We start from the raw sequence: 25,468 nt of genomic DNA, 5'->3' as shown, positions 1-25,468 counted from the left end.
ATCGCTGTTTTCCTGTATAATGATTAAGGTTTGGATTAGAGCAGCCAGAGAGGAGAAACATGTATCTAAAACCTACTACAATACATGGGGAACAAAGAAGAGATTTATCAAAGATGATTATGGAGTAAATAACCTTGATCAGTGCAGAATGGTTGTGGCCGCTAACACTAGAAAACAGACTGTGAACAGTCTTCTAGTTTTGGGGGACCAGCCTAAAAATAGAAATGTGAGTCAGAGTGGTGGAACCAGAAGCCAGAGATGAACTCAGAAATACGGATAGGTCATCAGCAGTTTCAGGGAAAAATTCATATGGAGCCACACTATACACCTGGAGATAGATGTGCTTTCAGTTTAGAGAGGATATTAAAATGTGAACATTCATATTTTAATAGGAATCAAAGTTCTCATGAAATATTAGGGTAGAAAATACTTTTAAGAAAGAATAATAAAAAGAAAATAAAGACTTTTGCAGTCATTATGTTTATAAATTGTAATTAACTCCCAAATAGAGAAGATTAGAAATTCCAGGGCTGACCTTTGGAAATATTACCAGCTAATGGGTGGAAGAAAAGGAGATTGATCATAAGCCCTTTAGAGAGAGCCCAGGCCATTCCCATCAGAATCCCAGGAGTTTTCATGGTTTCCTAAGAAGCCACCCTCCTGATCCTGAGAAATAATTCTGCCCTCTGGGAAGACAATACCCAGGACGGTCATGGCTGAGTACAAGATTGACCTTTCAGTATTGACCTCCCCTGGGACCAGCATTTGCTCTTGGTCTCTGGAGTAGCTGGTCCTGGGACCAGTCTGATTGGAAGGCATTCTAATAAAACAGGTCTGGCTTTGGTAGGAGACTGAGGAAAGAGAAGCATTCTGTTACTCAATCCTCACAACAGTCTTATGATTTCAAAGACAGAGGTCTAGAGAGGCTAAGTAAGGTGCCCAGGGGCACCTGGCTAGTAAATGATAGAGTCAGGATTCAAGTGTCAGGCTCTGCCTTTACTTCACCCTGTATGCACTCTCAAAGAGACTCAGTTTAACTTTCTGAAATGCTTCTCAACATGGACTGAGAGATCATCTGAGAACTACAGAGATTAAGAACTAGGTATTTTCCAGAGGTGGTAATTATAGCTGGCACTTCCTTCTATAGTTTTTTACCATATACCAGGCACTGTTTTAAGTTTTAGGTGCTTTAAATGTGTATGAACCAATTTAAATCTTCATAGGGCCCTATAAGGGAAGTCTTTTTATTATCCCCATTTTGCAGATAGGAAAAATGAGGCATGGAGAAGTTAAAACTGGTGAAAATCACATACCTGATAATGAGTAGAGTGGGAATTGAACCCAAGTAGTCAAGCTTCAGAATCCATTCTCCTAATAGCCATGCTATATTGCATCTTTGAAATAGACGCTGGTGAATATAGTAAAGGCAGGTTTAGTGGAATGATAGAATAGAAGCCAAATTTCAGGAGAGGAACCGTGCCTTTAAAAAATATACTTGTGTAATCCCAGCACTTTGGGAGGCCGAGGCAGGCGGATTACCTGAGGTCAGGAGTTCAAGACCAGCCTGGCCAACATGGTGAAACCCTGTCTTAGCTAAAAATACAAAGAATTAGCTGGGCATGGTGGCAGGCGCTTGTAGTCCCAACTACTCAGGAGGCTGAGGCAGGAGAATCGCTCGAACCCGGGAGGCGGAGGTTGCAGTGAGCCGAGATTGCGCCACTGCACTCCAGCCTGGGCGACAGAGCAAGACTCCATCTCAAAAAAATATATACTTGTGGAATTAGGCAAGAATTAGGAATAGTTATTTTATTTTGTCAAATGCTTTTGTCAAATTCTGCATTTACTGAGGTTATTGTGTGGTTTTTTGTTTTTTAGTTTGATATATGGTAATTATATTGACTTTCACATATTAAACCAACCTTGCATCTCTAGGATAAAGCTTACTTTGTTCTGATGTATTCATTATCCTTTTCACATATTCAGTTTACTAAAATTGTGTTTAAAATTTTTACATCAATGCCCAAGAATAATATTGGTCTGTATTTTTCTTTTCTTGTAATGTCTGTGGTTTTGCTGTCAGGGCAATACTGGCCTTGTAGAATAAGTTGGAAAGTGTTTCCCCCTCTTCAATTTTTTTTTTTTTTTTGAGAGACAGGATCTGGCCTTGTCATCCAGGCTGGAGTGCAGTGGCATGATCTCGGCTCACTGCAACCTCTGCCTCCTGGGCTCAAGCCATCCTCCCACCTCAGCCGAGTTCCTGAGTATTTAGGATTGCAGACACGTCACCACAGCCAGCTAATTATTTTGTATTTTTTGTAGACTTGAGGTTTCACCATGTTGCCAGGCTAGTCTCAACTCCCGACCTCAAGCGATCCGCCTGCCTTAGCCTCCCAAAGTGCTGGGATTACAGGTGTGAGCCACCACACCTATCTTCTCTTCAATTTTTTTTTTTTCTTAAGATGGAGTCTCGCTCTGCCCAGACTGGAGTGCAGTGGTGGCGATCTCAGCTCACTGCAATGTCCGTCTCTCAGGTTCAAGTGATTCTCATGCCTCAGCCTCCCGAGTAGCTGGGACTACAGGTGTGTGCCACCATGCCCAGCTAATTTTTGTATTTTTTAGTAGAGAGGGAGTTTCACTGTGTTGGCCAGGCTGGTCTCCAACTTCTGATTGCAAGTAATCCACCTGCCTCAGCCTTCCATAGTGCTTGGATTCATCCAATACACCTGGCCCTTTCTTCAATTTTTAAAACAGAGTGAGTGTCGCATTGGTATTGTATCTTCCTTAAATGTTTATAGAATTTAAGCCTTCTAGTGAAGCCTTCTAGGCCCAGGGTTTTCTCTGTAGGAAGATTTTAAATAACTGATTTCTTTAATAGATATAGGGAAATCCAGATTTTCCTTTTTTTTTTTTAAATGAGCTTTAGTAGTTTGTATCTTTCAAGGAATTTGTTTCATCTAAGTTGTTGGATTTATTGGCATAAAGTTAATTATGGTATTCTATTATTCCTTTAAGATCTCTACAATTTGTAATGATGTTTTCCTTCTCATTCCTGATATTGGTCATTTGTATCTTCTTTTTTTTCCTGATCAGCTTGGCTAGAGGTTTATAAATTTTATTGCTCTTTTTAATAAGTAATTAGCTTTTGGTGAATTTATTTTTCTCTGTTTTTCTATTTTCATTGGATTTTGCTTGCTTCAGATTTGACTTGCTCTTTTTCTAGTTTCTTAAGGTGAGAAGCTACAATCATTGATTTGAGACCTTTCCTGTTTTCTCATATAGGGGTTTAGTGCTATAAATTTCCCCTTAAGTACTGCTTTAGCTGCATCCCAAAGATTTTGATGGATTATTTTTATTTTCATTCATTTCAAAATACTAATATCCCTTTGATTTATTGAGATGTGCCATTTAATAGCCCATTCATGGACTACTTAGAGGTATGTTATTTAGTTCCTAAATATTTGGGGATTTTCCAGATGTCTTTCTGTTACTGATTTCTATTTCAATTCCAGTATGGTCAGAAAATATGCTTTCTATGACCTGAATCCTACTAAGTTTTTGAGACCTTTTTCATGGTGCAGAATATTCTATCTTGGTGAGGTTCTGTGTGTACTTGAAAGCTTCAAGAATATACATAAGCCTTTCTGTTGTTGGGTCGAGTGTTCTGTAAATGTCAATTAGATGAAGTTGATTGATAGTGTTGTTCAAGTCTTCTATATTCTTATTGGTTTTTTTTTTTTTGTCTATTTGATCTGTCAGTTATTAAGAGGTATGTTGACGTCTCCAACTGTAATTTTGGATACTTGTCTATTTCCTTTATAGTTCTGTAACTTTTTGCTTTATGTATTTTGAAACTCTTATTAGGTACATAAATGTTTAGGATTGTTACATCCCTTTAATGAATTAATTCCTTTATCATTACTAGGGATAAATAAAATCATTTCATAATATTCTTTGCTCTGAAATCTATTTTGATTGAAATAGCCATTCCAGCTTTCATTTGATTAGTATTGGCATGGTATATCTTTTTCTGTCCTTGTGCTTTTAATCTATTTGCATCTTTTTACCTTAAAGTGTATTTTTTATAGACAGCGTATAGTTGGGGCTTGCTTTTTAATCCACTTTGACAATCTCTGCCTTTTAATCGGAGTGTTTAGACCATTTACATCTAATGTGATTATTGATATATCAGGTTAGGTTTAAATCTAACATCTTGCTATTTGTTTGCTGTTTGCCCCATCTCTATCTTTGTCCCTCTTTTTCTGTACTCTTTTGGATTATTTTCTATGATTTCATTTTATCTTCTCTGACTTTATTAGGTATAATTCTTTTTTTCTTAGTGGTTGCATTAGGGTTTATACTGTACATCTTTAGCTTATCACGGTCTACTTTCAAGTGATAACAGGCATACCTCAGAGATACTGCATGTTTGGTTCTAGACGACTGCAATAAAACAAATACTGCAATAAAATAAAACGCATGAATTTTGTTTCCCAGTGCATTAAAAGGTATGTTTACACCGTACTATCGTCAAGTAAGTGTGCAGTACCATTATGTCTGAAAAAAAGTGTACACAATTTTAGAGTGCTTGGTTGCCAAAAAATGTTAACAATCATCTGAGCTTTCAGACGGTCATAATCTTTTTGCTGGCAGAGTGTTTTGCCTTGATGTTGATGGCTGCTGGCTGATCAGGGTGGTGGCTGAAGCTTGGGGTGGCTGTGGCAATTTCTTAAAACAACAATGAAGTTTGCCACATCAGTTAACTCTTCCTTTCACAAAAGATTTCTCTGTAGCATGTGATGCTGTTTGATAGCATTTTACCCACAGTGGAACTTCATTCAAAATTGGAATCAGGCCAGGTACAGTGGCTCACACCTGTAATTCCAGCATTTTGGGAAAATGAGGCAGGAGGATCACTTGAGCCTGGGCAACATAGCGAGACCCCATCTCTAAAAAAAAATTTTTTTTAATTAGCTAGGCATGGTGGCGCATGCTTATAGTCTCAGCTGCTTGGGAAGCTGAGGCAGGAAGATCTCTTAAGCCTAGGAGTTTGAGGCTACTGTACTGTGAGCTATGATTGTGCCACTGCACTCTAGCTTGGGTGATAGAGCAAATTCCTATCTCTAAAAATGAAAAATTAAAAAACTTCTAAAAATTGGAGTCAGTCCTCTCAAACCTTCCTGCTATTTGTCATTATCAACTAAGTGTATGTAATACTCTAAATCTTTTGTTGTCATTTCAACAATATTCATAACATCTTTACTAGAAGTAGATTCCATCTCAGCCACTTTCTTTGTTCATCCATAAGAAGCAACTCTTTATCCATTCAAGTTTTATCATGAAGAATACAATAATTCAGTCACATCTTCAGGCCCCACTTCTAATTCTAGTTCTCTGGCTGTTTTCACCACATCTGCAGTTACTGCAGTTTACTGAAGTCTTGAATCTCAAAAGGCGTCCAAGAGGGTTAGAATCAATCTCTTTGAAACTCCTGTTAATGTTGATATGCTGACTTCCTCCTATAAATCATAAATGTTCTTAATGGCATTTAGAATGGTAAATTCTTTCCAGAAGTTTTCAGTTTACTTTGCCCAGATCCATCAGAGGAGTTATTATCTATGGCAGCTATAGCCTTATGAAATGTATTTCTTAAATAATAGACTTGACAAAATTCCAGCCAGGTGCAGTGGCTCACGCCTGTAATCCCAGCACTTTGGGAGGCCGAGGTGGGCAGATCACTTGAGGCTGGGAGTTTGAGACCAGTCTGGCCAATGTGGTTAAAACCCCGTCTCTACTAAAAATACAAAAACTAGCCAGGTGTGGTGGTGCACACCTGTAATCCCAGCTACTCAGGAGGCTCAGGCACAAGAATCACTTGAACCCAGGAGGTGGAGATTGCAGTGGGCTGAGATCGTGCCACTCACTATACTCCAGCCTGGGCGACAGAGCCAGACTGTCTCAAAAAAAAAGTCAAAATAACTTCTTAATTTATGGGTTGCAGAATGGATGTTGCATTAGCAGGTGTGAAAACATCATCCTTCTCCTTATACATTTCCATCAGAGCTCTTGGGCGACTAGGTATACTGTCAATGAGCAGTGATACTTCAAACATTTTTTTTTTTTTTTTTCTGAGCAGTAGTTCTGAACAGTGGGCTTAAAATACCTATTAAACTGTAAATAGGTATGCTGTCATTCAGGCTTTGTTATATATATAGAACACAGGCAGAGTAGATTTAGCATCATACTTAAGAATCCTAGGATTTTTCAGAATGGTCAGTGAGCATTGGCTTCAACTTAGTCACCAGCTGTGTTAGCCCCAAAAAGAGAGTCAGTTTGTTCTTTGAAGCTTTGAAGGTAGGCATTGACTTCTACTCTCTAGCTCTGAAAGTCCTAGATGGCATCTTCTTACAATAATTTTACGTACTTCTTCAGCATTACCCTCCAACAGAAGGCTGTTTTGTATACATCGAACCTGTTGTTTAGTGTAGCCATGTTCATCAGTGATCTTAGCTAGATCTTTTGGATAACTTGCTGCAGCTTCTACATCAGCACTTGCTGCCTCACCTTGCATTTTTATGTTGTGGAGACAGCTTCTTTCCTTAAACCTCATGAACCAACCTCTGCTAGCTTCTGACTTTTCTTTTGCAGCTTCCTCACCTCTCTCAGCCTTCATAGAATTGGAGCGAGTTAGGACATTGCTCTGGATTAGGCTTTGGCTTAAGGGAATGTTGTAGCTTGTTTGATCTGCTATCCAGACCATTCAGACTTTCTCCATATCAGCAATAAGGCTGTTTTGCTTTCCTTTTGTTGCTGTTTTTTGTTTCTGTTTTGTTTTGCTTTCTTACATTCGTATGTTCACTAGAGTAGCACTTTTAATTTCCTTCAAGGACTTTTTGCATTCACAACTTGGCTAACAGCATAAGAGGCTTTACTCAGCTTTCTACATGCCTTCGTCGCTAAGCTTAATCATTTCTAGCTTTTGATTTAAAGTTAGAGATGTGTGATTCTTCCATTCACTTGAACACATAGAGGCCATTGTAGGGTTATTAACTGGCCTAATTTCAATATTGTTATGTCTCAGGAAATTAGTGAGGCCCAAGGAGAGGGCGAGAGATGGGAACAGCCAGTCCATGGAGTGGTCAGAACACATAAAATATTTATTGATTAAGTTCACTGTCTTATGTGGGAATGATCTGTGGTGTCCCAAAACAGTTATAATAGTAGCATCAAAGATCACTGATCACCATAACAGACATAATAATGAAAACCTTTGAAATGTGAGAACTACCAAAATGTGACAGAGACACGAAGTGAGCACATGCTGTTGGAAAAATGGTGCCCATAGGGGACCACAGGGTTGCCACAAACTGTCAATTTGTAAAAACTGCAGTATCTGCAGAGCACAGTAAAGTGAAGCACAATAAAATGAGGTAGGCCTGTACTTCTCTCCCTCCAATCTTTATACTATTATTATGAGATATTTGACTTCCTCATGTTACAAACCTCACATTAAATTTGTTAGTACTTCTCTTCAGTTATCTCTTAAAGAGATTTAAATAATAAGAAAAATAATCTTATGTACTTATCTAGCATTACCATTTCTGTTGTTCTTCATTTCTTTGTTTAGATCCATATTTTTGGCTGGGTATGGTGGCTCACGCCTGTAATCCGGCACTTTGGAAGGCCAAGACGGGCAGATCATTTGAGGTCAGGAGTTTGAGACCAGCCTGGCGTGGTCAGGTTGTTTCAGCCAACATGGTGAAACCCCATCTCTACTAAAAATACAAAAAAAAAAAAAAAAAAAAATTAGCCGAGTGTGGTGGTGTGTGTCCATAATCCCAGCTACTTGGGAGTCTGAGGCAGGAGAATCACTTAAACGCAGGAGGTGGAGGTTACAGTGAGCCAAGATCACGCCACTGCACTCCAGCCTGAGCCACAGAGCAAAACTCTTGTCTCAAAAAAATATAAAAACATATTTCCATCTCATGTCATTCTCCCTTCTGCCAGAAGGACTTCTTTTAACATTGCTTGTGGTGCGAGTCTGCTGGTGATAAATTCTTTCAGGTTCCGTATACCTGGAAATTCTTTTACAGTAATATGCTAAGACATTTGTAGGGCTTACTAAGTTTATTCCTGTTTCCTTTTTTTTGGAGACAGAATCTCACTTTGTCGCCCATGCCAGAGTGCAGTGGCATGATCTTGGCTCTCCACCTCCCAGGTTCAAGTGATTCTCCTGCCTCAGCCTCCTGAGTAGCTGGGATTACAGGTGTGTGCCACCACGCCTAGCTAAATTTTTTGTATTTTTGGTAGAGATAGGGTTTCACCATGTTGGCCAGGCTGGTCTCGAACTCCTGACCTCAGGTGATCTGCCTGTCTCAGCCTCCCAAAGTGCTGGGATTACAGGCATGAGCCACCACACCTGGCCAGTTTAGTCCTGTTTTTTAGGGATCGTCCTTTATTGTCTGATGTTCACACAATGTTTTGAAAACCATTGTTTCATATATTTTGTCTTTTTTGTTGTTTCAGGCAGGAGGGTAAATATGGCCTATGGCCCTTGTTGTCTCATCTTGGAAGTGAAGCACTAGCCAAGAATTAGAGAAAGGAAGTAAAGTGGTTGGGGCAAGACTTTTTCAGAATTGGCCTGTAATGGGCATGTGTCAAGGCAGAAAAGGGAGAGGAGTATGTTTTTATCCAGAAGGTGGGATTTCTTAAATAACACGAAAGTACCTCTGTACAAAGCAGTCTATATAAGCAGTTAATTAGCAAGTTAATGCCTTTTGAAGCTTCTGGGTGGGACATACTAAATCTGAAACAGACCGAGTATGTTAGCTCATGCCTGTAATCCTAGCAAGTTGGGAGGCTGAGTTGGGAGGATCTCTTGAGCTCAGGAGTTCGAGACTAGCCTGGGCAACATAGTGAGGTCTTGTCTCTATTAAAAATAAAAATAAAAAATTAGGCCAGGCGCGGTGGCTCATGCCTGTAATCCCAGCACTTTGGGAGGCCAAGGCGGGTGGATCACGAGGTCACGAGATTGAGACCAGCCTGACCAACATGGTGAAACCCCGTCTCTACTAAAAATAGAAAAATTAGCTGGGCCTGGTGGCACGCGCCTGTAATCCCAGCTACTTGGGAGGCTGAGGCAGGAGAATTGATTGAACCTGGGAAGTGGAGATTGCAGTGAGCCGAGATTGTGCCACTGCACTCCAGCCTGGTGACGGAGTGAGACTCTGTCTCAAAAAAATTAAAAATAAATAAAAAATTAGCCAGGTGGTGTGGCTTATGCCTGTAGTCCCAGCTACTCGGGAGGCTGAGGCAGGAGGGTCGCTTGAGCCTGGGAGGTCAAGGCTGTGGTGAGCTATGATTGCACCACTGCACTCCAGCCTGGGCAACAGAGCAAAACTCTGTCTCAAAAAAAAAAAAAAAATCATGAAGCAGTGCTGATAATCTCTGTGGACTTTCCTTTAAATCTCAGTGCCGTCCTCATTGTTCAGTGGTTTTGAATCTGCTAGCCTGGCCTTGAATGTTGTGTCAAAAACAGCGGTTTATTGGAGTTGAGGAGCAGGAACAGATACGAAATGGCTTCTAGAAAGAATAGCCAGAGGGAGGCTCTGGTTGGAGTTGAAGAAAAAGGTTTTGGAAAAGTTGCAGAGCACCTTCCCCTGAAGTCTCTCAGTTGGGATGCTCTTTAATTCTCATATTGGAAAGGCTGTCCTATTCACTTAACAGTTCAGTAATGGGAGAGAATTTTATTCCACAAATGAGGTCACCCGGTTGAGGATATGGTGATCCAGAAACTTTTTTTATACTGTATAAAAACTCAAACAGTTTTCATCTGGCAGCTTTGTTGCAGACAACATCCCATGTCTGTTTGCCTGCACAAGGTGTGAGTGAGTAAAGAAAGTGGGGGTAGGGTCTGCTTTGGCTGCCATAGTAGCACAATACCATAGACTTGGGGGCTCAAGCAACAGAAGTTTATTTTCTCACAGTGGAGACTGGAAAGCCCCAGAACAAGGTTCCAGCAAGGTGTGGCTTCTGGTGAGAAGTCTCTTCCTGGCTTGCAGGTGGCCACCTTCTCAATGTGTTCCCACATGTCCTGTCCTTGGTGCATGCGGTGGGGGGAGAGAGATTGATCTCTCTCTCTTTTCTTATAAGGCCACCAGTTCTATCTGATTAGGACCTCACCTCACCCTTATGACCTCATTTCATATTAATTACCTTCCAAAAGCCCTATCTCCAAATAAGCCACATGGGGGTTTGGGCTTCACCATCTAAATTTGGGGAGGTGACACAAACGTGCAGTCCGCAGCAGAGGGAATGAGATGTAGCAGCTGCATAGGTGCCTGACGGCTGTGACACAGTTCTTTTGTCAGCCTCTCAGTTCTGGGTACATTATGGCCATACCCTCCAGAGGCCTTAGCCCTGGTGACATGCCTTCTGCCGCACACCTCCAGACCAACAGCTTTCAAAATTAGATTTGGATTCCAATATTTTGTTGAAATGATTAGAATCAGCCTGAATGTACTGTCCTGGGGTGCTGTTGAGGTTCTGTGGGGAAAGGAACGGGGCTCCTGATGGACTTCGTGTTGCTTGCCTCCAGGTTCTTCTTTGCGGTCCAGTTGGTCCAAAGCTACATGAGCTTCTTGATGACAATGTCTTTGTTCCACCAGAGTCATTGCAGGAAGTGGATGAGTTCCACCTCATTTTAGAGTATCAAGCAGGTAAGGAAATGAGTAAGTAATGGTGGCAAGACCAGTCAAGGGGCTGTGTATTGTCAGATTGGGGTGTGACTGTGCCGGAAATTTATCTTTGTAAATTAGCAGGATCCTGTTTTTGCCATACTGAAAGTTTCCTGACCTATTGGTTCTACTGAGCTGATACTGGCCGTTGTCTCAAGGGAGACTGAGTATTATAACATGGAAGAAAATTCCCAGGTCTACAAGCAGAATTGCTCCGAACCCAAGATAAATCAGGTCATAGGAAAGCAAGCATCTCAAATAAAAGTGAAAACGTGTTAAACACACATATATAAAGTTTTCCTTTATGACTAAGACAAGAGAAAGGCAGGTAGCATCCATTCAACTCTGTGCTGGATTCTGCCCTAGGCCTTTCTGACTGACTCTTCCAAGCTGCTTGGGGTTGATTCCAAGCTTCTGGCAAGTTTCTCTGGAGCATTTTATTTTTCCTTGGGTGTGTGAATGGAAGTGTTTTGTATTTAACATCACTATATTGTTTCCCATCAGATGTTCTAATGTTAATAAATCCACATCCACTGCATCCCATCCCCTCTTCCCAGCAGATTTTATATGTTACGTAGATTAGGCATCTGGTTTCTGAGAGAATATTAAATACTTGGACATACTTTGATCCTGTGTATTTCCTGCTGTAATTTTCCCTCTGCTCAGAACTCAGACTCTTGAGTTTCTGATTCAACACATTGTTAATACACATTAAAGACTCAAGCATCTAAACAGACTAATTGGTACCTTAAAGCAGCACTTAATACTCTTCAGTGAACTACTTCCAAGTCAATTAAGAGAATCTTCTCTACTAGAGTAATTAACTTTAACATAAGATATGAACTATGTTATTTCTTGAGAATTATGCCTTTCTCCAGGTAGAAAAAAGAGTTGTAACATGTTCTGGTTCTCTTTCGGGTGCTTACTAGAATCAGTTGGGAATTAAAGAAGGATAGGGTCTGAAAATTAGGGACACAGCGTTGACGTAGGCAATTCATACTTAATGCTACACAAGTTTTTGAGTTTCTCAGCTTTAGTTTTCCCAAATGGGAAGTAAGAGTAATAGTTTTTACTGCCTGATCATTGTGGTAAGGATTAAGAGATTGGTTGGTGTGCGGAAACATTGTGAGCAGCTTGGATGAAAAGATGACCTGGCCGCACGTGGTGGCTCATGCCTGTAATCCCAGAACTTTGTGAGGCTGAAGCGGGTGGATCACAAGGTCAGGAGTTCAAGACCAGCCTGGCCAAGATGGTGAAACCCCGTCTCTACTAAAAATACAAAAATTAGCCAGGTGTGGAGGCGGGCGCCTATAATCCCAGCTACTCAGTAGGCTGAGGCAGAGAATTGCTTGAGCCTGGGAGGCGGAGGTTGCAGTGAACTGAGATTGCACCACTGCACTCCAGTCTGGGCAACAGAGCGAGACTCCGTCTCAAAAAATAATAATAATAAATAAATAAAAGAATGACCTGACTGTGGACTGGAAGGGTCTGGAATTGCTAAAGATGAGCCCCTGAGGTATTGCTGCCATGAGTTCCAGATTCGTGTCAGTTTTTTTGGCACCCACAGCAGGAACTGGGGACCTTTGTGATTCCTGGTTTGTCATTTTTCCTGGTGACTACAGAGTGGAGAGTCTTACGTCTTCAGCAAGACTTTGATGTTGTATTGGACAGCTGTGCCTCGTATGTAGTTAAGGAGACAGCACAGTTCACCGCACAAAGAGAGTGTCTCCATCCTTGGGTTTATAAGCTTCACACTTCAGTTTTTCTTTCCTATGCCTCTTCTGCATACAAAGCAGTGGACTTCCATTAAACTTTGTGAGGTGACATTTTCCTAGGTCCAAGGAGGGAGCCTAGTCTAGTGGCAGTAGCCCTGGGCTCAGCTCTCTCAACAGAAATCCATTCCCAGCTTGTCTCTGACCTCAATAGGGAAATTCCAAGGGATTTGTCCATTTTTTTTTCCACATTCTCTCTTACCAGATCTCCCCAGAGAAGCCCATTGTCAGGCTTGGGCTGGGAATCCAGTGAGTCACTACGCAGAGGTTTTGCTGACTTACTGGCTGAGGGCAGGATGATACATTGAGAAGAGATTGCTTACAGGAATGAATACAACACTTTGTGAGGAAAGAGGGGCGCTAACTACCATTACAGGCAGAATTAGATCCATTTGCATCTGCCCCCTGCATGGCCTCTCCAACGGGGCCATGAATATGCTGGAGGTGTTTGTGTCTAGCCTGGAGGAGTTTCAGCCAGACCTGGTGGTCCTTTCTGGATTGCACATGATGGAGGGACAAAGCAAGGAGCTCCAGAGGAAGAGACTCTTGGAGGTAATGGCACTGTTACAGAATTTCACAGATCTCAGCTGGTGGTTTTCTTCAGGTTCCAGCCTCTCTTGGCATCTGCTGCCTTGTTTCCTGTGGAAACAGCAAGCAGCTCTGCACGGTTCTTCTCATCCTTGCCTTGCAGAAGAGCCTGTTTATTTTTGCCTCTGTCACTTCCTGAAGAAATCAGTGTATTTTCAATACAGTGTGGCTCCTTTCTCCTAGGTTCAGTTAGGTCGTGTTTCCTAGCAGTGTCACTATTCAAGGGTTGAGTCCACGTCTTGCTCTCTGGAGAATGTCAATGTAATGTATTTTTCCCATCGTACAGAGTCTTTGTTGATTTGCAAAATGTTGGATTTGGGGTTCATACCCATATTTTTTGTTGTCATGGGCATTTAGGTCATCAGTCTGTTCTCTTATTTGCTTGTTCTTTTGTTAATTCATTCCCATGGCTATATGCCAGACACAGCATGATGCAGAAGGAATACGACAGAGGATGACACAGGCCCTGCCCTCAGCTCACAGTTTACTGCCAGAGATAGACACTTGGAAAAAGTAATTGCAGGCCGGGCATGGTGGCTCACGCCTGTAATCCCAGCACTTTGGGAGGCTAAGGCAGGCAGATCACCTGAGGTCAGGAGTTTAAGACCAGCCTGGCCAACATGGTGAAACTCCGTCTCTACTGAAAATACAAAAATTAGCCAGGCGTGGTGGCGGGTACCTGTAATCCCAGCTACTCGGGAGGCTGAGGCAGGAGAATCGCTTGAACCTGGGAGGCAGAGGTTGCAGTGAGCTGAGGTCGCGCCATTGCGCTCCAACCTGGGCAACAGAGTGAAACTCCATCTCAGAAGAAAAAAAAAAAAAAAAAAGGAAAAAAGAAAAAGGAATTGCAAAATCATGTGCCTCAGTCCTGTATTAGGGTACAGTGGTGGCCCCAGAAAGGAGGTAATCAAGTCTGCTTAGGGGTGGTAGGATTAGGAAAGGCTTCATGTTTAGGGAGGAACTAGCACTTGAACTTGGGTCTTTAAACAGTCATTCCTCTAAAGCAACTCACATAGAAGCAACTGGAGCAGCTAGATAGTCTGATCCTTTGGATCAGGTGCCCAGAAACCACTGATGGGCAGCAGGGAAGAGGAGATGCAGTGAGCTTGGCTGTTGGGAAGAAATTCAGCCTGCTTAAGTTCCAACTGAATGAAAGATGCTCAGGGCAATGCTGTGAGGAAGAATGTGCTTTAAACAATGACAGCCTATACTGTCTGCAGGGCGTGCGTGCTGCACACTGTATGCTGGTATTTGGAAGTCATGCTGCCATTCTGTACTGTCTCTCCTGTGTTTGAGAGCTCAAGTAGGGCTCTCCTGGGACTCAGGGGGAGCTAATTACCTTGAAAAAGGCATATAGCACCCATACTATGTTTCTGTTTCTTGGCTGGGTTTGGGTTTAGGTTTTTGGTTTGTTTCTTGCAGTGCCATGCTGACCTTAGGCCATTGTTGCTGGGGTCTCCTCAGCCAGAAACCAGCCTGCTTGGAGCCAAGGCTCCTGTGAGGTGCCTGAAAGTGCCCCCACAGCTAGGAGACCTAAAGCCTCTTCCTTTTCTTCCCATTGTGTTGACTGGGTTTTTCCAGGGGAGGAGTGGGGCCAGTTAAAAGCTCCCCATGCCAACCGATTCATCTTCTCTCACGACCTCTCCAACGGGGCCATGAATATGCTGGAGGTGTTTGTGTCTAGCCTGGAGGAGTTTCAGCCAGACCTGGTGGTCCTCTCTGGATTGCACATGATGGAGGGACAAAGCAAGGAGCTCCAGAGGAAGAGACTCTTGGAGGTAATGGCACTGTTACAGAATTTCACAGATCTCAGCTGGTGGTTTTCTTCAGGTTCCAGCCTCTCTTGGCATCTGCTGCCTTGTCTTAGGTCCTGGCCTCCCAGGGACATATCTTGGCAGCTGGCTGTGGAGCTTGCCTCCTGCTGCAGTGAGGCACCTCACTGTATCCCTTCAGATGTGGGCAGCAGCTTGAGTAGGACAGGGCAGAACATCTTCTTGCCTGAGCCTCTGCATCCTGTGCTAAACCGACCATGGCTGCAAGCTGCAGGGTTTGTAGTTTGTGTCCTTTGTGTTATTTGTATCATCTCACTTCACATCAGCTATGCTGCAACTCCTACAGATTCGTACAGCAGTCGAAGTGAACTGCCATCTCTGATTCTGTATCCCTGATGGCTCTGCACAGCCTAGTCTTCCCTGGTGGGAAGAGTGTCCCTTGTCCACAGAGGTGGTGGGGACCCACATTGCTTGTAGCTCCCGTGAGCATGCAAAGAAGGCCATTACCAGGAGGAACCGCCTCTCAGGATCTGATCTTTTCTTCCCTCTTTCTTGACTTCCTTCTATTTCTAATGGCAGTGCTTATCTTCTTCTCTTTGCAGGTTGTAACCTCCATTTCTGACATCCCCACTGGTATTCCAGTTCACCTAGAGCTGGCCAGTATGACTAACAGGGAGCTCATGAGCAGCATTGTCCATCAGGTAACCTCATGGGACCATCGTTTGGCCCTGATCCTCATAGAGCCTTGCAGAGAAGCTTTTTTGTGCAGTGGGACCATCTGTTTGGGCTCAGGGACTGGCTCACTGACATGTAGGTTTGTGTCACTCAGACCCAAGTCCATGGAGATCCAAATAAGGATCCAGGACTGTTCTGAAACAGCAGTATCTCCTACTAGGTTAAAGTTATGGCAGTGTAACTGACAGATTGTTGATCATATTTCTCCTCTGGAATGGAAAAGTTGAAAGTGAATGGAAAAAACTGAAAGCCCAGCTCAGCTGCTTTCAGTTGAACTTCAAGAAGCTCAAAGCAAAGAAACTTTGAGGGAACCTCCCTCCTTCCTCAGGCATCTGGGTGTTCAGTGCCTGCCTCTGGGCAGCAGCATTGACTAGTATAAATCTGAGCAGGTGAAGCTTCAGAACACAAGCTCTGGAGACCTGGGTTCGCATGCCAGCCTTGCACTCACGGGCTTCATGAACTCAGGCAAGTTACCTCACCTGGCAATCTAGTGTTACCTAATTTTAATTGGTAATATATTCATTTGGTTAAAAAATACCCAAAAACTATGAAAAGATATACAATGAAGTCTCCCTTCTACTTCCTCCCCTTCCCTACTTGCACCCTTCATCAGTTTATTTCCAGAGTTCTTTTGTACAAGTATAAGAAAATACAGAAATATATCCTGATTTTGTTTTCCATCCCTTTTTACCCAAAAAGATAGCATAGCCTACTGAATACTCTGTTCTTCACTTTGCTCTTTTTTTCACTAAATATATCTTGGAGATCTTCCTGCATCACTAACATGGAGAGTATCCTCTGTCTTTTCATAGCCATATGGTTAAAATGAATGTGTAGATGTACCTCCGTTTACTTAACCTGAACCTTCTGGATGGACATATTGGTTATTTACTGCCCTTTGCTGTTACACACAGTGCTGCAGTGAACAACTTGATACATGATTTTGTTTTGCCTGTGAACAAGTCCATATTTAGGAGAAAGTCTCAGAAGTAGAACAGCTGGACTGGAGCATAAAAAAGCACTTGTAATTTTGAGATTGCCAGATTGCCCTCCATAAGAATTATACCAGTTTACTTCCCACTGGCAATAATTACAAATACTTGTTCCCTCATATCCTTGCTACCAGAATGTTAAAATTTGCATTTATATCAGTCTGACAGATGAAAAAATGGTATTTCAGTATACAGTCATCCCTCGTCATCAGCGGTGTGTGGGGCGGCGGGGGCGGTTCCAGAACCCTTCCCAGATACTAGAATCTGCAGATGGTTAAGTCCTGCAGTTGGCCCTGTGGAATCTGTGGATTAGACAAGTTGGCCCTCCCTATCTGCAGGTTCCACATCCTTGAATACTCTGTTTTCCATCTGAAGTTGGTTGAAGCCATGGATATGGAGGGCTGACTGTCGTTGGTTTTGTTTTTTTTTTTTTTGATAGACTTCATTTTTTTTTTATGGTAATATTAGGTGCATAGCAAAATAGAGCAGAATCCAAGAGAGTTCCCATATACTTCCAGTCCCCTCACACACAAGCCTCCCCAACTACCAGCAGCCTGCACCAGAGTGGTACATTTGTTAAGCTAGTGAGCCTACACAGGCACGTCATCAGCACCCAAAGTCCATAGTTTACACTTGGGTTCACTCTTGGTGTTTTTCAGTATAGCTTTTGTTTGGGTTTTTCTTCTCACCTTTAAAAAAATGAGCCATTTCTATTTCATTTTCTCTGTAACTGTCTACTTAACCCTTCTGAGGCTTAGTCTGTACAATGGAGGCAGTCCCTCCTTCCCTCAGAAGATTACAGTAAGAATTGGATGAAATAAAGCCTTTAGCTCAGTGCCTGACACAGAAGAACATGCAGTGAAGGAAAGCTGCTATTGCTCCAACAAAGATGTAGGCCATTAAATTTTTAAAACCATTTTATACATGCACACATACATACAAGGACTCCTCTCTCCTGCAAAAATTGTTACCTTAAGTGTGGTTCTCTGGTTCTAAGGAGGGAAGTGCTAAGTAAGAAAGACAGGGAGGTGGATATTGTGGTTCCCCATCAGACAGAAAACACGGGCACCTGTTTGGTAATCTTTTTCTTACAGTGTTATTGCTAAATTCAGACAGTCTTCCTAACCCACACCTGCTTTTAAAAAGCTTAGCTCTAACATGAAACTGTATGCTTTTTGCTTCTTGGTGTTTTGTATAAAAAAAATCATTATAACCCTGACAGTATGTTGCTTGAGGTCTCCATTTTACTGGTCTAATACTGCTGACATTCAGGAACTGAGAGCCATGCCCCATCAGTGGTAAGAGTATCTCCTATGTGTGCAGTGGCAAAAGCTAGGGACCATGGAAAGAAACACAAAATATAGACACCTCTGCCTTTTGTCTTACAGTGGCATATCACAAAAGACTGCATCTGAAACAATGTTACTGCAGCTTTCCAGTTTCTCCCAAATGATGATGAAGGTGAAGATAGGGGTGTGATAGCTAAAACAGTGACTTCAGGGCCAGGGAGTCCTGTATCAAGGAAGAAAGCTGCCTGCCTGTGTTCCCTGTCATTTAGTCACTGGCTGTGTCATAAGACATCTTAGGAGCCAGGTTATCTCCATCAGAAAGATACCTGTTGTTGTTTTTGTTAGCAGGTCTTTCCCGCGGTGACTTCCCTTGGGCTGAATGAACAGGAGCTGTTATTTCTCACCCAGTCAGCCTCTGGACCTCACTCTTCTCTCTCTTCCTGGAACGGTGTTCCTGATGTGGGCATGGTCAGTGACATCCTCTTCTGGATCTTGAAAGAACATGGGAGGAGTAAAAGCAGAGCCTCGGATCTCACCAGGATCCATTTCCACACGCTGGTCTACCACATCCTGGCAACTGTGGATGGACACTGGGCCAACCAGCTGGCAGCCGTGGCTGCAGGAGCTCGTGTGGCTGGGACACAGGCCTGCGCCACAGAAACCATAGACACCAGCCGAGTGTCTCTGAGGGCACCCCAAGAGTTCATGACTTCCCATTCGGAGGCAGGCTCCAGGATTGTATTAAACCCAAACAAGCCAGTAGTAGAATGGCACAGAGAGGGAATATCCTTCCACTTCACACCAGTATTGGTGTGTAAAGACCCCATTCGAACTGTAGGCCTTGGAGATGCCATTTCAGCCGAAGGACTCTTCTATTCGGAAGTACACCCTCACTATTAGGAAGATTCTTAGGGGTAATTTTTCTGAGGAAGGAGAACTAGCCAACTTAAGAATTACAGGAAGAAAGTGGTTTGGAAGACAGCCAAAGAAATAAAAGCAGATTAAACTGTATCAGGTACATTCCAGCCTGTTGGCAACTCCATAAAAACATTTCAGATTTTAATCCGAATTTAGCTAATGAGACTGGATTTTTGTTTTTTATGTTGTGTGTCACAGAGCTAAAAACTCAGTTCCCAAATCCCCAGTTTATGCAGCGCCATCAGGTATTTTAAGCTAAACTTCTTCACCCCTGAGAGCATGTCAGCTGGAGAAAAGCAGTTCTTCCTTGCCCACTTGAGAAGTGCACGCCCACTCACCCAACATCCTGGTCTCTAGGAAAGCCTCATGTGAGGTTCCTCTTTCTTTCAGCTCAGTGCCCATGGGCAAGGATCATGATTTCCATTCCGTGTTACAATGACAATATTTAATGAGCATAACCTTCTCAGTCTCCTGCTCTCAAATTTAGGACAGAGCCGCTAAGGACAAAACAATCCCTCCCGTGCTTTATGATGGCAGCAGGGGCTGGGGAGCCTCTGAGGGACTCTTTCATTCTGCAGTTGTCTGGAAGCCTGGGTGGCGTCATGAGCTGAAGGATCATGCTTTCCTGTCCTGGCTCCATAGGTTATAGGCTGGCTGGTGAAAGGTTCACGTGGCCCAGGCTGAACTTCATTGCCTAGCTTTGGATGTGCTTTCTGCCATAAAGACTGATTTTTGTTCGTTCTGAGCCTTCAAGGAATTTGTTTTTTACAACTGGAATATGCTCCTGTGTGTGTTAACAGATCATGGATGTTTTATGTTTTCACTGATCATTTAAAGAGTTTGACCTCAGAGCTCCAGGATCATCAGTAAATTTGTCATGTTATATATTTATTTTTTTATAAATCAAGACTTCTGTGTGCTCTTAAATATATTAAAAACAATTTACATTTCAGGAATTCTGTCTGTAATTGATTTTTGTCTCCATCACCACTCTGGAACCAGATAAGATAAAAATCATTCTGATCTTCATTTGTGATGTGCATGTTACTTTGCTCTTGAGGTGCTTGCAGTCCCTCATGCTGAGCCTGAGCTATAGGCTTGTCCTGTGGGGTTGAAAGTGACACAAAGTACTAGTATGAAGTAGCCCAGTTAAAGCTGAATTGGAGCATAGCAGTTTGAGAGCATGGTGAGCCTTTTCAGCTTGTTGGGAGGGCAGTATGAACATGGCAGCTGGTGGTGGGCCTGCCTAGTTCAGGGGTCTTCATTTCCCCTGGGCCCACAGCAGCTTCTGGAATCTCAAAGCTACCTCAAGCTCTTCATTTATGACCTCCCTTTCCCTGCTTTGGATAAGAAAGCTTGATTACTCCTTCAAAGTAAATTTAAGCCTAGAATGCAGCTTGTAACTCAAAGCTGCATTCTAGGCTTAAATTAAGGAAATCTCTGGCTGCTACCTCTTCCTTCTGTTTCCCAGATAAGTTAAAAATAACCACCAACCTTCTAGCCTATTTTTATTAGAAAGGCTCACATGAAATTTTTGTTTTCTCAAGAATTGAAATATTTATATTCTAAACCTAAGAAGACTTTATTAGGAGTCCTGAAGTGTTCACATGATCTTTTCTAATGTCTAAGTTGACTAAGCCCCTGGTCCTGAGTGTGTATTCTTAACTCGTTCTCCATTTTTTGATTGGTGATGCCAGTAAAGACTAGTTCAGGGAGTATAGACTACACATACCCTAGAGCAGTGTTTTTCAAATAATGGATCTTGAACTAATAGCTACTAAATCCATTTGGTGGTTATCACAAAAAGTATAAAAACATCATACATTATAAGGGTAAGTATAAGTAAGCATTGTTTTATAAAATGTCATTGACTGTCTAAGTGTATATAGATTTAAACATACATACATCGCCCTGCAGAATGTCCATCTTTTTTGTGAAGCAGCTAAGCAATAGAAGTGATGGGTATTTATCACACAAGACAGATTATGCAGAGGTGAGTTGGAAGGGTAGGATAAGCTGAACAGGTGGGGGCTTCAGGTTTCTCAACCCTTTGGTGTTTTACAAAGGTATTTTACATATGATTTTATATGAAGAAATCTTTGAAAATCCATTGGCCTAAAAAGGATGCCTGGTGAAGGGTGAGTCTTCCTGAAAAGTGTTGGTACACTCCCTCTGGCTTTCATTTGAAACTGATTTTAGTTTCAGGGAAAAGAAAAGCTGCAGCATACAAAGCACTACCAAGAAGTAAGAGTACAGCCAAAAATCCGTCATCTTATGCAGGTACAGTTTGCATTGTATTCTCTCCTGGCAAGTTTGAGAAGAAATCCAAATTGTACAAAAGGTTTTGAGGTGGTGAGTATTGAATGATGTTGGACAAGTTACCCTTACTGAGCCTTACTTTGCTTATCTGTAAAATGGGGTTAATGGCGGTACCTACCTTCATAGGGCTGTTGATTACAGGAGACTGCCATGTGGAATATTTAGCACAGTATGGGGCACATACTTAAGAGCTAAATAATTGTCAGTTATAACCAAGCTGAACAGACAATTTCTTGGGTCTCTTTAGAACTATTTTAAATCACTGAAAAGCTACTTGTAATAATTTAACATTTTGTTTTCTGGTCTTTTTTTTTTTAAAGGTGAAAATGTTTATATAGTGAAACTGCACAAATTTTAAGTGTGCCATTTGGTAAATTTGTTTTTGTGTTTTTGTTTTTGAGACAGAGTCTCGCTCTGTCGCCCAGGCTGGAGTACAATGGTGTAATCCCAGCTCATTGCAACCTCCACCTCCTGGGTTCAAGTGATTCAACTGCCTCAGCCTCCGGAGTAGCTGGGATTACAGGCACCTGCCACCACGCCCAGCTAAGTTTTTTGTATTATTAATAGAGATGGGGTTTCACCAGGTTACCCAGACTGGTCTTGAACTCCTGACCTCAGGTGATCCAGCCGCCTCGGCCTCCCAAAGTGCTGGGATTACAGGCATGAGCCACCACACCTGGCCTTTTTGTTTTTGAGACAGAGTTTCGCTCTGTCACCCAGGCTGGAGTGCAGTGGCTCAGTCTCGGCTCACTGTAAATTCCACCTCCCAGGTTCAAGCGATTCTCCTGCCTCAGCCGCCCTAGTAGCTGGGATTACAGGTGCCTGCCACTAGACCTGGCTAATTTTTGTATTTTTTGTAGAGATGGGGTTTTACCATGTTGGCCAGGTAACGGTCAGGCGCGGTCTCTACTAAAAATACAAAAATTAGCTGGGTGTGGTGGTGGGTGCCTGTAATCCCAGCTACTGGGGAGGCTGAGACAAGAGAACTGCTTGAGCCCATGGGGCAGAGGTTGGAGTGAGCCAAGATCATGCACTTCTGCCTGGGCAGCACAGCCAACTCTGTCTCAAAAAAAAAAAAAAAAAAAAAAGATTCAGAATGGACAGCCCCAAGCACATTGTCTGAGTTAGTCTTGATCTGCAAGGAGCAGCAAAAATGAAAAGTCTCCATCACCCTAGATAGTTCCTTCATGCCACTTCCAAGTCATCCCCACCGCATACCTCAAGCCCCAGAACAACCAGTTATTTTCCACCAGAAATCAGTTTTGCCTGTTTTCAGAATGCAACTTAAAAATGGAGCCATTCAGTATTTAGTCCTTTGTATAGAGCTTCTTCCATTTAGCATAGTATTTTTTAGAGTAATCCATGTTGCATGTAGTTGGTTGCTTTTTATAGCTAGATAGTACTCCACTGTGAGTACAGAGCATTCCACTTTGGAATTATTATGAATAAAGCTGCTGTCAACAAGTGTTTGTGTAGACGTACTGTCATTTCTCTTGGGTAAAGGCCTATAGGAGGGAAATTGCTGGGTGAAAGGCCTTTTTTCTAAAATGGTTGGACCATTTACACTCCCTAAAACAGCATATGACAGTTGTGGTTGCTTTTCTTCCCCACAACCATCTGGAGTTGTCAATGTTTAATTTTACCCATTTTGACAGGTATACAGTGGTATTTCAGCATGGATTCAATTTGTATTTCCCTAATGACATATGAGCACTTTTTCATGTGCTTTATTGACTATTCATATATCTTTCTTTGTGAAGTGTCCAAATCTTTTGCCTTTTTCTCCCCCAGTTGAGTTGTTTGCTTTGTGTATGTTGTTTGGGTTGTTAGGTTTTTTTGAGTAATAAGAGTTGCATCCAAAATGTTTGGATACAAGTCCTTTGTCAGATATGTTTTGTACTTTCTCCAAGTCTGTGGTTTGATATCCTTTTTCTTAATGTCTTAATGTTCTCTATGCCCAAAGAAATATTGGACCATGCCCATGTCACAAATATAGTCTCACTTTGTATATAAAATGTGTAAGTTTTTATCATGTACAGCATGTTTTGAAATATGTATATATTACCTTTACATTAGCTGTAGGTATATAGCTATATTGAGCTAATTATGCATTGTCTCAGTTTTTTGTGGTGAGAACACTTGAAATCTTCTGTTGGCAATTTTCAATAACTTTTTCTTCTTTAAATTCTTTTGTATTGTATTTTTATATACTAGGAAATTTTCAATAATACATTAAGTAGAGTCACCGTGTTGTACATCTCCCCAACCCCTGCCCCTAGATTGCTTTTCCATACAGCTATCCAGTCGTTCCAGTAACATTGGTTGAAAAGACTTTTCCCATTGCATTGCTTTGGTACCTTTATCAAAAATCAAATGACTGTATAACTGTAAGGTCTATGTATGCACTCACTTCTGTTTTATTGCTCTATTTGTCTATCTTTATGCCAGTGCTACATGAGCACTATTATAGTAAGTCTTGAAGTAAGGCAGTGTAAGTCTTCCAATTTTGGTTTTTTTCCATGATTGCTTTACATGTTCTTGGTCCTTTGTGTTTCCATAACATTTTAGAGCCAGCTTGTCAAGTCAATTTCTACCCCAAAACCTGCTGGGATTATGATAGGATCTATAGATGAATTTCGGAAGAATTTTTATCTTAACAGTATTTAGTCGTACAATGCATGAACATGATATATATTTCTATAATGGCCTTCTGTTTCACACCAGTGCTTTTGCCGTTTTCAGAGTAGAGGTCTTAACGTGTAGTCTGTTAAATTCCTAAGTATTTCGTATCAATAGTATTTGACACTTTTGTGATTTTTTTTATTTTCAAAATTGTTCCTTGTATATAAAAATACAATTGATTTTTGTACATTGACTGTATCTTGTGACCCTGCCAAATCCACTTGGGTGTAGTCACTTTTATTTTAATAATTTATTTTTAGGATTCCTTAGGATCTTCCACATAATCATGTCATCTGTAAAGAGTTTTATTTCTTCCTTTCTAGTCTTTATGCCTTTTTATTTCTTGCCTTATTGCACTGGCCAGAACTCTAGTCCAGTATAAGGCTGAATAGAAGTGGTAAGAGCAAACATCTTTGCCTTGGTCCTGATCTTAGGGGCAAAGTAGTCAATATTTCACTAAATATGATATCCATTGCATTTTTTTTCTCATGGATGCCCTTCATCAGGTTGAAGATGTTCCCATCTATTCTTTATTTGCTGAGAATTTTTATGATTTTGTTTTGTTTTTACTTTCTCAGGGGCTGAGAAGGGTATTGAAGTTTTAGGTTCATAGGAAATTGAGGAAATACAGACACTTGCCATATACCAGCTGCCCCAACACATGCATAGCCTCTTCCCTCCCTATCAACATCTCCCACAAGAACATGTAAAGCAAACATCTCCCACATTTGTTACAACTGATGTATATATACGGACACATCTTTATCACCCAAAGTCCATAATTTACTTTTGGCTTCAGTCTTGTACATTCTGTGGCTTTGGACAGAGTCTCACTCTGTCACCCAGGCTGGAGCACAGTGGCACAATCTTGACTCACTGCAACTTCCACCTCCTGGGTTCAAGCCATTCTCCTGCCTCAGCCTCCTGAGTAACTGGAATTACAGGTGTGCGCCACCATGCCCGGCTAATTTTTGTATTTTTAGTAGAGACGGGGTTTTGCCAGGTTGGCCCGGCTGGTCTGAAACTCCTGACCTCAGGTGATCTGCCCACCTCAGCCTCCCAAAGTGCTGGGATTACAGGCATGAGCCACCACACCTGGCCTGGACAAATATATTAATATAACAACATGCATCCACCACTATGGTATCACACAGGGTAATTTCACTGCCCTAACAACCCTCTGTGCTCTGTTCATCCTTCCCTCCCCACTAATGCCTGGCAACCACTGATCCGTTTGCTGTCTTATAGTTTTGCCTTTTCCAGAAGGCCATATTGTTGGAATCATGTGGGATGCAGCCATTTCAAATTGGTTCCTTTCTATAGTAATACGCACTTCAGTTTCCTACATGTCTTTTCATAGCTCATTTCTTTTTAGAATTGAGTAGTAGTCTTTTATCTGGATGTACCACAGTTTATTCATTTATTCACCTATTGAAGGACATTTTGGTTGCCTCCAGGTTTTGGCAACTGTGAATAAAGCTGCTGTAAACATCCATGTGCAGGTTTTTGTGTGGACATATATTTCTAACTCCTTTGGGTAAATAGGAGTGTGATTGCTGAGTTCTAACATTAAAAGTATGTTTAGTTTTGTAAGAAGCTGCCAAACTGTCTTCCAAAGTGGTTATACTATTTTGCATTCCCAACATCGATAAATGAACAGTCCATTGC

The 25,468-nt window shown here is 41.9% G+C and overlaps 1 protein-coding gene across 11 annotated transcripts in view; it reads left to right on the top strand.

Annotated features, from left to right (window-relative positions):
* Positions 1-19,828, top strand: part of ADPGK (ADP dependent glucokinase) — a 32,465-nt gene extending 12,637 nt beyond the window's left edge. For 5 of the 11 annotated variants that reach the window (NM_001365224.1, NM_001365225.1, NM_001365229.1 and 2 more), the window contains 4 exons: positions 10,595-10,715; positions 14,675-14,871; positions 15,468-15,566; positions 18,227-19,828. In NM_001365224.1, the coding sequence (NP_001352153.1) occupies positions 14,749-14,871; positions 15,468-15,566; positions 18,227-18,781 (777 nt within the window). In that variant the 5' untranslated portion in view covers positions 10,595-10,715; positions 14,675-14,748 and the 3' untranslated portion in view covers positions 18,782-19,828. Of the gene's footprint in view, positions 1-10,594; positions 10,716-12,832; positions 13,058-14,674; positions 14,872-15,467; positions 15,567-17,980; positions 18,054-18,226 lie in introns of those variants that run through there. The other 6 variants (NM_031284.5, NM_001365223.1, XM_011522104.4 and 3 more) reach the window with 5 other exon arrangements.
* Positions 19,829-25,468: the final 5,640 nt, after the last annotated feature.

The sequence above is a fragment of the Homo sapiens genome, chromosome 15 (genome assembly GCF_000001405.40).
Source record: "Homo sapiens chromosome 15, GRCh38.p14 Primary Assembly".
NCBI lineage: Eukaryota > Metazoa > Chordata > Mammalia > Primates > Hominidae > Homo > Homo sapiens.
This window is presented reverse-complemented; position numbering and strand designations above follow the sequence as displayed.